Genomic DNA, 12,634 nt, shown 5'->3' with positions numbered 1-12,634 from the left:
GAAACCCCGTCTCTACTAAAATACAAAAAATTAGCTGGGCGCGGTGGTGGGTGCCTGTAGTCCCAGCTACTCAGGAGGCTGAGGCAGGAGAATTGCTTGAACCCAGGAGGTGGAGGTTGCAGTGAGCCAAGATTGCACTACTGCACTCCAGCCCAGGCAACAGAACAAGACTCCATCTCAAAAAAAAAAAAAAAAAAAGTAACTAGAGGAGAAGGGCTGCTAGCCCTCTATTGATGAAGAGACTGAGGGTCAGAGTGGTTCAATGGTTTGCCAAGGGTACACAGCTAGAGGCAGAAGGCAGACTGAAACTGTACATGGCCATGATGCTGCCTGTGAAGACAGCGGATGAAAAGCCCCTGACACACAGTAGGTCCTCAGTATCCATGAGAACTTCCCTTTTGCAGAACCTGCCAACATTTCAGAAACGAGAACACCTCAGAAATTGGAATGCTGGCACACGAATACTCAGCGTCTTTTCTAAGCCTGTAGGGCTAGGCGTGAGCACTCCTGACCGAGTTTGCGGAGGCTTCCCTTTGGTAGCAGCCCCCCATCGTAAAGGATGGATGGGTCCTTTCGTCCTCACCCCCGACCCTGTCCCAGTTACCTATGGCCAAGGCCGTCTCCAGGGCATCCCCCGTTATCATCTTCACAGACACACCAGACTCGGAGAGAACCTGGACTGCTTCCTTCACGCCAACTCTCGGGGGGTCAATGATGCCCACAAGACCGAGAAACGTCAGCCGCCCCAGCTCGGGCCCAGAAGCCAGGGCCAGCACTGAGGAGAGAGGGGGAGTAAGGAGGGGTCACCGGGGGCTTAGGGGCCGTCGTTTTTTGTTGTTGGTTGTTGTTGTTGTTTTTTAAGAGAGTTTTGTTCTTATCGCCCAGGTTGGAGTGCAGTGGTGTAATGTTGGCTCACTGCAGCCTCTGCCTCCTGGGTTCAAACCGTTCTCCTGCCTCAGCCTCTTGAGTAGCTGGGATTACGGGCATGCGCCTCCAGGCCCAGCTAATTTTTGTATTTTTAGTAGAGACAGGATTTCACCATGTTGGCCAGGCTGGTCTCAAACTCCTGACCTCAGGTGATCTGCCCACCTCAGCCTCCCCAAGTGCTGGGATTACAGGTGTGAGGCAACGTGCGCAGCCCTTTGTTAGCCAGCCCCCACCATGGCCCAGATCCTCCTCGGTCTGCAGAGGGCTCAGGCAACAAGTCCCTAGCCTGAAAGGGAGGGCAGAGATGCCTCCAGCGGCTCTCAGGCCTGCGCAGGTGCACAACAGATGGAGAAGGAAGCCAGAAACAGCTGCATAGCAGAAAATACCACTGCTGTCTGCTTGATATGGTTTGGCTGTGTCCCCACCCAAATCTCATCTTGAACTGTAGCTCCCATAATTCCCACGTGTTGTGGGAGGGACCCAGTGGGAGATAATTGAATCATGGGGTGGTTTTCCCCACAATGCTCTGTGGTAGTGAATACATCTCAGGAGAGCTGATGGTTTTATGAGGGGTTTCCCCTTAGGCTTGGCTCTCATTCTCTCTTGCCGGCTGCCATGTAAGACGTGCCTTTCACCTTCTGCCATGATTGCAAGGCCTCCCCAGCCACGTGGAACTGAGTCCATTCAACCTCTTTTTCTTTGTAAATTACCTAGTCTCAGGTCTGTCTTTATCAGTAGCATGAAAATAAACTAATACACCACTCATGGTATAAGACCCACCCCACTTCCCAACAAAAGTGGCTGCAGAAACCTGTGAGCTGGCCCAGAATGGGACATGTGAGGTGGAGCAGGATGGGACGTTTCTAACAGTTCTTGCCCTCATTTGCTCTGTGCTAACTCATCTTGTCATCTCCAGCAGTCTTGGGGGCGCGGTACAGAGGTTAAGAAAAATTGACAGGGGAGCAACCCAGCTGAGGGGACTCTTGCTGTGAGCTTGCCCTGGGCCTTGACTCTGTTTCTGTGGCACAGAAGCCAGGCCCAGCTCCTGCCCCTGGGTGATCTGAGAGGGGGTGGTGTAAGAACATCCTTGCCCCCTCACTGACACCAAAGATGGGGCTGGCATGCCTCCTACACAGTCATGACACTGCGCCAATGACGCTGGCGCCCTTCCTCCCCTTTTCCAATGGTCCCCTCCCCTCCCTGAACCTGGGCTTTGCCAACCCAGGAGCATCCCCTGCTTCTAGTGGCCACCTAGTAGCGCTCTATCCCAAGAGGATACTCCTGCCTCCGTGCTCCCCTCACCCCAACTCTCCTTCCCTCTCCGTGGGGTTTTTCATCTTCCCCTGGATGCATGTGGGGTGGGGGGTCTCAAAGCCCAAGCCACTCCAGGGGATCTAGCAGGTTGGGGGCCTCTCTAAGTCACTCGGGCACTGTCCCAGGCCTGCCAGGCAGCAGGCATCAGTCCACGGTCACCTGCTGAGGAATAACATCCCAGACTAAACACAGATTGGAAAAACGCACAGGCCTTCTCTAAGGCCAGTTCCCAGGTTGTAGTTTTCCCAGCCACAGGTGGAAGACAAGTCCATTTGTAAACAAAAAAGGACCTGCGTGTACACTGGGGGAAGACAGGAAAAGGTCTCACTGCTCCTCCGCCACTGACCCGTTCTCATTACGCTCTCCCGCAAGGCCTGGAGCAAGTCCCTGGAACGCGTCATTACGCTCCGCAGCAGACATCCGGGCGAAGGCGCTGGCTGCACTAGGCAGGGCTGTGTCACCTGGGCCGGCTCCTCTGCCCGGTGGGGATTCAGGGCGTGGCCTCACACAGGCACTTAACCTGGTGCCCAGCACACAAGTGGGGCCCAAGTGCCAGGTGCAGATTTAGAGGCCAGTGCCACGTGGGATGTTTACTTACTAACGTGTCCACTCTTAAGTGAGCCATTTCGTCAGCAGAGGCGTGATGTGACAAGAACAGGGAGCTACTGAATGGCTTGGTCGTATCAACCATGACAAAAGCAGCTGCCACCCACGTGCCAGATTGTCTCCCAATCTCTCCACTGTGCAGGAGGGACGCCACAGCCCCGTCGCTGGTGTCAGCGAGGTGAAAAGGACCTTCTTATACCAGCCCCTCTCAGATCACCTGGCTCGCAGAAGCTGGGCCTGGCTTCTCTGCCACCGAAACAGAGTCAAGGCTCAGGGCAAGCTAAGATGGGATTCACCGTCTCTTCCAATCCTCACAGCAATCAATGAAGTCACTGCTCTCCTGCCTTCCTTAGGCATATGGGGAAACTGAGGCACAGTATTTACCTGTAAGCCTATTGTAGACCCAGCGCAACACAAACCATTTGGGGGGGCAAAGTGCCAATGCTTTGGGGAACGCTCCCCTCACTCGGGAAGAGGGGACACGTGCTCGGCGCTGGCTTCACTGTGCCCCAGAAAGCCGCAAGGGTCTCGCCCCGTACACCTCTGAGCAAGCCTGCCAGCAACCTACAAACTCTGTTCCCCGAAGGGGAAAACCAAGGCTCCTGAGCCAGTAAGGCCAACCCAAAGCCTCTCACTTTCCCCCAAGGGAATACCAGTGCTCAGGAGCACTTCTAAACGCTTCCTCTGTAACTGGCCAGGGTGACAAATGACACCAAGGGAAATGTGAGATTTAATGTTCAGTTCAGCCCATCAGGGATGGCACTGGCTCTGCTGCAGAAAATTGAAAATGGCTAAGGGAAAAAATATGTTCCTTGACTGAAAAGAACTTCGGGTTTTCCTGACAAGAGGCAATGAGCAAAAAGACCTATTGGGAAAATCAATGTTTGGGGTGCAGCCCATTCACCTGCCTTAGGAAACTCAGCAAGGGAGGGTACCCTCTTCTCTGGATTAATGGGGGTCACTAAGGAACTGGGATGAGGTGGGGACCTCTGTGCCTTTCATGTGACCATCAGGTTCCAAGCACACATTATTGCCGTCAGCATGCTGCCTGACTCCTTGGGACGGGTGACCTCCTTGACTAGGGACCCTGCTTGAATGCACTTAAAAGTCAATGTTACATGCAAGCTTAAAGCTCTGGGCCGGGACCACAGGCACTGACCCCGCAAACCGAGCGACCCCATCCTCTTCTCTTCCTGCAGGCAGAATGACCTCTGCTGGGGCGTCAGCGGCAGGGGGATGCCCCCGTTGTTGTACATGGTGCAGTAGCGGATCACCTCTTCCAAGGCCCCTTTCATGAAGTAAATGTCTTCCTGATCCTTAGAAAAGACAAAGGGAAGAAATCCACTATCACTGGAAGCCTTGGTTCATACTGACCATCACCCCACTCTGCACAAGGTTACAAAGACACACACGGGGATCTTTGCAGCGGAGTTATTTATCATAGGCTGGTGCTGTTCACAGGTGCTGGACAGGTTCGCGAAGTTCTAGAATCCATCCATGGAACGTTTTGCAGTCCAGAGAAAGAACAAGGCCAATCTTCAACCTGTACTACCCTTGTTCTTTTTTCAGTTCCCTTGTTATGGTCACTCAGAGCGTCTTGTATGTTTCATGCACGGGAGGTATCATCCCAGCTGGGACTGTGCCTTTGGGGGTGTGATTAACTGGGAATATTTCCATTAGACTGTTGCCTCCCTAGGGCAGCACCAAGTCTATTTTGTACCCACCCCCAGCACTTGGCTTGTAATAGTGAAGCCACATGAGTAGCTGATCATTTTTCCTGTGTTTTTCTTAAGCTCTGTCATGACAAACATGTAGACTATGAACTCCACGGGGGGAGGCCCTGGGTCAGTGAGAGTCACACTGTACCCCTAGCCTCAATACCGGACATACCTGGCTCACGTGGGTGCACAGTGTGAATGTAACACTGTTATAAGATAATATAATATTAATTATATATGTTATTAATATGTAATTAACATATTAATGTTATTAATAAATATAATATTAATTACAGATGTTAATACATTAATTATAGTACATATGTATTGTATATTATTTATATGTATTATATTACATTATATTATTTATATGTATATTATATATTATATATAACTAATATATTCTTATACAATTATAATATATATTACATAATATATATTAAATAATATATGTAATATATGTAATATATATTACATATTATATAATTAATATGTTAATATAACAAGCTTATATTAACCAACACAGACATCTAAGACATAATATTAAAAGAAAATCTTAGGGGGAAAAAGCAAATTACACACACTATAAATAGTGACCTTGTTTTGAAAATACCATCCAGATGTTGTCGTTTGCATATTTAAAATCTGCAATGCTCCATCCCAGACTTAAAATAGAATTACCTCTGGGTGGGTGGTGGGGAGGGAGGGAAGAAGGGTGGAATGAAAGAAGCTTTCATTTTTATGTCATATTTCTATACTTTTTCAATGAGAATATATTACCATTGCCTTGCAAGGGAAAAGATTTAAAGGTCTAAAAGTTTTTTGAAAATCTATAATCCCTTCTAAGCCCCTGAAATGTACATGTGTCCATCCATGCACAGGAAGGGCCTGGCATGAGCTGGCTGAGCTGCCCACAGCCCTGAGTGGGAGCTGAGCAGTCTGCGTGGGCAGACATGATAGATTCTAGAAAGAGTGGGAGGGAAGAGGAGGGGTGGAGAAAACGGTAGAAGGCAACAAAAACTTTAAAAAATAGCTTTTAAGGAAAATCTGAAAAGCCACAACAAATCTGAAAAGAAAATTTTAAAAATCAGCTGTAATGTCCACCCGGGGTGGCCATAGCTTGGTATGTGTTCCTCTAGCCAGGGACAACACGTGTGCACACGCTGATGCACCACACAGACACGCCTTCCGTACTGAAGGATTTGCTCCCCAGTATGACGGGGAGATGAGCTAAGAAGTATAAAAAACTTAGCACAGGGCTGCAAAGAGAGGACTGGCAAGTTGGCGACTGGTGTTAGCAGCAGGGCCTCAGTCACTGGATTACAGGCTGGTCGATCTCAACATTTGCACCTGCATCAGAATCTGCAGAAAATGAAGGTTACTGGGTCCCACCCCTGGACCCTTCGACTCAGGAGGTCTGGCATGGAACCTGAGATTCTGCATTTCTAATAAAGTCTCGCGTGGTAACAACCGCTGCTACTCCAGGGACCCTGCTTTAAGAACTTCTGTTTTAAACAAAAAGCCAGAAGCAGACCCAAGAGAATCAAAGGTATGATGGTGATTAAGTTTTTCCATGTATTTGGAACGTCACAGAAGCAGCCAGGAACTTTCAAATTATCCTTGAAGTCTGCATTTTGCTTTATCTCTGGGTGGGGGCCCGGGCAGAAAGAGAGAAGAGGTTGAAGATTGAAAGGTCTCACCTCAGTCTTCAGACTGCATTTCACCGCCATCCACTTCTGCTCTGAACTGAATGGAATCTCTTTTTTTCTTATATATGAATTTTTAATATCACTTAAGTCCATCTAGCATAATAAAATGACACATTTTTAGTGAGTCATCCGAAGCCAATCTCTATACAAAGCTCAGTCCATTTAAATTATTCATTGTTCAAACCACCTCTGGCAGATAAGAAATCCAAGCATTTAGCACATAGAAAAAAGGCCATTTCTCTTGGAATGTCCCACCTAGAAAAAAAAAAAAAAGTCTCTTCTCTTGGCTGAAGGGCAGACAAGACGGTCTTTGCAACAGCTTCTATCTGAAATCTGCTTAGAAACAAACCTGCAGTGTTTCTGCCGGGAGGAATGTTTCAGACTTGAAGGTGTAGCAATTTCTCAGACGGAACCCCCTGAGTCAGTGAGACAGCCCTGCGTCCAGAACATGGGGTCCTTGCCAGCCCCCCGTCCACAGCCTGGGGTCCTTGCCAGCCTGGCCCTTTGTTGCTCTTTGGTGGCTTTTGGATCAGTGATGTGACAACTCAGAATCTCAGTTTCCCCAGGTGTAAACCAGTCATGACCCATGCATCCCACTGTCCCACAGGGGGTGAAAATGCGGTGCAGCAGGGGCACAAAAAACTACTCCTTTTACGTAGAAAGTGCAGATATGCGTACAATACAGTGTATCTACCATATTAAATTTCATGGGGAGGGAGTGGGGTGATTAGGGAAGAAATGCCTAAACCATCTCCTTAGTGGGGTTGAATTGTACCCCACAAAAGATATGTTGAAGTCCTAACCTCGGAACCTCTGAATGTGACCTGATTTGGAATAGCGCCTTTGCAGATATCGTCAATTTGAGGCTATTAGGGTTGGCCCTAAGCCAACATGACTGGATATAAGAGGAGGAAGGCCGGGCATGGTGGCTCATGCCTGTAATCCCAGGACTTTGGGCAGCCGAGGCGGGTGGATCACGGGGTGAGGAGATCAAGACCATCCTGACTAACATGGTGAAACCCTGTCTCTACTAAAAATACAAAAAGTTAGCCAGGCGTGGTGGCAGGCGCCTGTAGTCCCAGCTACTTGGGAGGCTGAGGCAGGAGAATCGCTTGAACCTGGGAGGCGGAGGTTGCAGTGAGCGGAGATCAAGCCAGTGCACTCCAGCCTGGGCAACAGAGCGAGACTCCGTCTCAAAAAAAAAAAAAAAAGAGGAAAACGCTGCGCAGAGGCGTGGCGGGGAGCACCTCGTGACAGAGACAGAGCTTGGTGTGAGAGACCAAGGCAGGGATGCGTCTGCGAGTCAAGGAACGCCCGGGGCTGCCAGTAACACCCAGAAACTGGGAGACGGAGCCTGGCCCTGCTCACACCTTGATTTCAACTTCTGGCCACAGAGCTGTGTTTCAGTGTGTTTTGGTTACACTAAATCACCAGCCAGTGGTGTTTTATTTCAGTAACCCCAAGACCCTAATCCAGGAGCAATAATGGAAGAAAAGCCCGGGAACCACTGGCCTGGCCTCAGTGCCATTTAGAGCAGGTGAGACAGGTAAGAACCACAAAGTGCTTGCCCCATGCCTGTCACACAGGCAGCACTTCCTACATGCCAGCCAGTGTTTGTTCTGTATTCCAAAATCTTAAGCCAGGCCCCAGGAAAAAGGAAAATTATAACACATCAAGGAAATCTCTTCTGGGTGCTGGAACCTCTCTCCTCTCTAGGCTGCAGGGACGGCTGGTGGCGGAAGCAAGGTGACACATGGGTGTCATTCCTGCCAGGCGGTCAGGCCGGCACCTTCCCTTCTGGGCGGCGAGGAGTTGTTGAATGGGGCAGACTCAGCACTATTTTAAAACGGGAAATGAGCTCCATTCACTATTACAGACATTGCAGAGAGAATTCTCTTCTGTGAATGGAAGAAAAATAATACGATGTCATGATTTCTGTTTGTTTTTTTGAGACGGAGTCTTGCTCTGTCACCCAGGCTGGAGTGCAATGGTACGATCTCGGCTCACTGTAACCTCCGCCTCCTGGGTTCAAGCAATTCTCCTGCCTCAGCCTCCCGAGTAGCTGGGATTACAGGTGTGCACCACCATGCCCAGCTAATTTTTATATTTTTAGTAGAGATGAGGTTTCACCATGTTGGCCAGGCTGGTCTTGAACTCCTGACCTCAGGTGATCCACCTGCCTCGGTCTCCCAAAGTGTTGCGATTACAGGTGTGAGCCACTGTGCCCAATCTTTTTGTTTTTTTTTTTTTTTTTTTTTTGAGGCAGGATCTCTCTCATCTAGACTGGAGTGCAGTGGTGTGATCATAGCTCATTGCAGCCTCAGACTCCTGGGCTCAAGGGATCCTCCTGCCTCAGCCTCCTGAGTAGCTGGGACCACAGGCATGCACCACCATGCCCAGCTAATTTTTATATTTTTTGTAGAGATGGGTTTTCGCTATGTTGCCCAGGCTGGTCTCAAACTCTTGGCCTCAAATGATCCTCCCGCCTTAGCCTCTTAAAGTGCTGGGATTTGAGCCACTGCACTCAGCCTGTAATGACTTTCCAATGTTCTTACACTGGGGAAAAGCACCTGATCTACCAACACGGGGGCTTATGAGAGGGCGACCACCTCTCCCCCGCCCAGCACCAGCTTTGGGAAGGCAGTGGTGTGGGAGGTTGGAGTCTTGCACTGGAGGGAGGGACAGGTAAGCTGATAACAGAAGGCAGTGAAGTGAGCCCTGGTGCTCAGTGATGGGACAGGTAAGCTGAAAATACAAGGCAGTGAAGTGAGCCCGGGATGAGGAGAGGTGTCTGCTGGGGTGGAAACTGGAGTGAACTTGAAGAGAAAGTCGGCACTCGCCAGTGAGAACAGGCAGGAGTGGTCAAAGTCCAGGAGGAAGCAGGAAGGGAGGGTGAGTGCAGGGGCCAGGCTCGGCGGCAGCGAGGGGTCCGTGCTGGGGGATGAGCACCCTGAGTCGGGCTTTTCCCTTGACCTTGATGGAGAGGGTTCTGATCACACCCGAGTCAGAGACAAGTCACACAGCAGAAAGCACGGAGCGGGTCGGGGAAAGGAGCTCCCACAGTGTCCAGGGGAGCCCCAGCTCTGGCTGAAGAGGAGGGACCCAGGCCAAGTGGCCATGGAAACAGACGTGGGAGCTGACCGGGGCCACCTTCTTCCTTCCTTTGCTCCCTCCTCTTAACCTCTGCCGGCCCCTCCTTTCCCATGTCCTTTGTCCTCTCTTCTCCTTGCTTTCCTGTCACCTGCATTCCCAGCCCATGTTTTCTGCCTCTCCTTCTTCTAACTTGTCCTCTGAGCACAGAATGCAGCAGGCCCCCATCAGCTCCCACCCATCCCCTCCACACTGCAAGCAGCCACTTGGTACCTGGTGCTGGGTACAGAATGGCCTGGGGCAACCCTGCACAGCCACAGAGCTCAGGGTCTAACACTGAACCCCGGAGTCAATCGAATACATTCCCAGGAACCAGCCCCTCCCAGTGGTGCCTCGGTGAGCACAGGGTCGTGTTGGGTGCATAGGGAGTCTCGTTCCACTGTCTGTCGCCTCAACACCTGACCAGGGCCTGAACCACAGGGAAGCTCATAGGATTCTTTTGGAATCGCTGGTGGAGGGATTAGAGACCTGCAGAACTTGCTGAAGTCCCGTGGAATCTCAGAGCTCACCTCCTCCACCACCAACAGATGGCCCAAGGCCAGTGTGGGCCATTTTCTTCCATGATTACCTAACGTCCCCACTCCTGTTAGCTCAGACAGGAGCTGGCTTTCTACCAATGAATCCAGCCCCGAGCGAAAGAATTCCCCGCAGAGCCACCCCAGGACCTCCTACCTTCATCGCCAGGGCCATCAATGCACCCTCGGTGGGCTGCCCCATCACGGCGTTCTTTCTGATGACCGCATTGTTGGCAACACAGCCCGCCTAAAAGGGGATTGTCCGGACATCTGTAGTTAGTACTGGGCTCATGAAAAAGTTAGACATTGTGGGCCTGTCCCATTTTTACAGCTGGGGTTGTGGGGACAAGACTTGCTCTTTAAAACAACTCAGCGTCCCGGCTTTTTAAAAGAAACATCGTGACTATTTCTTGGCTGTGCTGAATGTTGGTTCCCATAAAGTTATCATGAGGGAACCCAGCAGGGAGGCAGGTGCACGGGTGGTGACGAGTGTGGGGTAACGGGGAGCGACCGATAATGGGGATGATGGCATTTCCACTTGGGGTGACAAAGTATTCTAGACAGTGGTGAAGTTTGCACAACTTGTGAACAAATTGAAACCACTGAATTGTGCACTTTAACGGGGTGAATTCATGGTAGATGACTTCTACCTCAATTTATACATAAATATTTAAAAAATGAAAAAGAGACAAGCAAAAAGAGTGGGATTCCCAGCGCTCTTCCTTCCCGGCCTGGTGAGCCTGGACACTCGCATTACTTCTCTGCCCATTTCTTTTCTTTTCTTTTTTATTATTACTAGTTTTGCATATTTTTGTTTCATTCATTCATTCATTCGAGATGGAGTCTCATTCTATTACCCAGGGTGGAGTGCAGTGGCATGACCTCAGCTCACTGCAACCTCTGCCTCCCTGGTTCAAGGCAATTCTCCTGTCTCAGGCTCCTGAGTAGCTGGGACTACAGGTGTGTGCCACCATGCCCAGCTAATTTTTATATTTTTTAGTAGAGATGGGGTTTCACCACGTGGGCCAGGCTGGTCTTGAACTCCTGAACTCAGGTGATCCACCCGCCTTGGCCTCCCAAAGTGCTGGGATTATAGGCATGAGCCACCACGCCTGGTCATATTTTTGATTTTTAATCTGCAAAACCAAGACAGCGTTTGCTGTGATAGTGAAGTGGCCCCTGGAGGCAGGTCCTTTGCAAGTGGCGCTCACTGAACTGTACAGAGGAAGAAGGGTGCCTGCTACATGGGGAGGAGGGAGCCCCTGTGAAAGGGTGAGTACAGCTCGGACCGCAGGACTCATCACAGCAACAGGGGAACATCATCACAGGCTCACTAATAACAATAGGGGAAATTCATCACAGGCTCACTTTTTACCATTCATCGGGCACGTCTCTGGGCAGGAGTCTCCTTAGAGCCTTCCCAGTGGGCAGTGATGAGTACAGAGGCTTCTAGCTCTTCTTTTTAAATAATTTTTTTAAAAAAAATAATAGAAACAGGGTCTCACTACGTTGCTCAGGCTGGTCTCGAACTCCTGGCCTCAAGTGATTCTCCTGCCTTGGCCTCCCAAAGTGCTGGGATAACGGGCATTAGCCACTGTGCCCAGCCTAGCTGTCGTCTTACTTCTGATGTCTCCATCACTTTTGAGGCCATTTTTTCAGTGCTGTGCCAGCCTCACCCCTGGATGGGCCAGTCATTGTCAAGAACCAGTAGGTTCAATGGCTGTTTCCCTTTTCAGAGAGGAGCCCCAGAAGCCTCAATGTAAATGCCTATTTCCCTCATGGCGCTTTTGACACCTACCTCCACTAACTTTCCCACTGAGACATTGGAAAATTCCTTAATGACTTCCTTGGATGGTAGAAGACACACAGTCCCTTGACCGTCATACCCAACTCCGCTGACCTGCAGGGCGAGGCAGAAGAAAGGGTTTCGCCAAGAGTCAAAAACATGCTCCCCCAGTTGGCCCACAATCTCTGTCCTGGGGATCCATTCCAGGGACACAATCCTAAACGTGGACAGGGCTTTCAGTATGAAGATGTTCTCTGAAAGATTATTGATTAATTGGATACGTCATGGATGGACACAGTACCAGGCATGAGTAAGTTGCAGCAAGTTGACTCAGTGGGATACTCTGCAGCCAGTACAAGTGATGGTTAAGAAAACTAAGAACTAGCATAGAAGAGTGCTTCTATTCCAAGAACAGCGCTGGGTAAACGTGTTAGCCTTTGCAGCCCATACCACCTTTGTCGTGGCTACTCAGCTCTGCCGTTGCGGCACACTGAGGCATGAAAGCAGCCATTGGCAATATGTACACAAATGGGTGTGGTGGTACACCAAGGAAACTTTATTTTCAAACAAGCACTGGCCCATGGACCATCACCTGTTCACCCCTTGGTTTGGCCAGTTTTGTAGAAAAAATATCAGGATAAAAAAATTGCACATTCAGAGAGCTTCCAATTACGCCAAGCACGCAGAGGACACTGAAAAACACGCAAGGACTTGGGAGGCTGAGGTGGGAGGATCCCTTGAGCCCAGAAGTTAGAGGCTGCAGTGAGCCATGATTGCACCACTGCACTGCAACCTGGGCGACACAGCAAGACCCTGGCTTAAAAAATAAAACAGGCTGGGCGTGGTGGCTCACGCCTGTAATCCCAGCACTCTGGGAGGCCAAGGCGGGCGGATCACCTGAGGTCAGGA

The 12,634-nt window shown here is 50.1% G+C and overlaps 1 protein-coding gene across 6 annotated transcripts in view; it reads right to left on the bottom strand.

The window, feature by feature from the left end:
* The window catches only part of ATP2C2 (ATPase secretory pathway Ca2+ transporting 2), a 95,650-nt gene that overhangs the window by 11,492 nt on the left and 71,524 nt on the right, over positions 1 to 12,634 (bottom strand). For all 6 annotated transcript variants that reach the window (NM_001286527.3, NM_014861.4, XM_011523486.3 and 3 more), the window contains 5 exons: positions 11,738 to 11,839; positions 10,097 to 10,186; positions 6,266 to 6,367; positions 4,007 to 4,163; positions 605 to 775 (listed from right to left, as the gene is read on the bottom strand). In NM_001286527.3, coding sequence (NP_001273456.2) covers positions 605 to 775; positions 4,007 to 4,163; positions 6,266 to 6,367; positions 10,097 to 10,186; positions 11,738 to 11,839 — 622 coding nt within the window. The remainder of the gene's footprint in view (positions 1 to 604; positions 776 to 4,006; positions 4,164 to 6,265; positions 6,368 to 10,096; positions 10,187 to 11,737; positions 11,840 to 12,634) is intronic.

Source organism: Homo sapiens, chromosome 16 (genome assembly GCF_000001405.40).
Source record: "Homo sapiens chromosome 16, GRCh38.p14 Primary Assembly".
Taxonomy (NCBI): domain Eukaryota; kingdom Metazoa; phylum Chordata; class Mammalia; order Primates; family Hominidae; genus Homo; species Homo sapiens.
The sequence above is the reverse complement of the archived record's forward strand: the minus strand, read 5'-3'. Positions and strand labels throughout refer to the sequence as shown.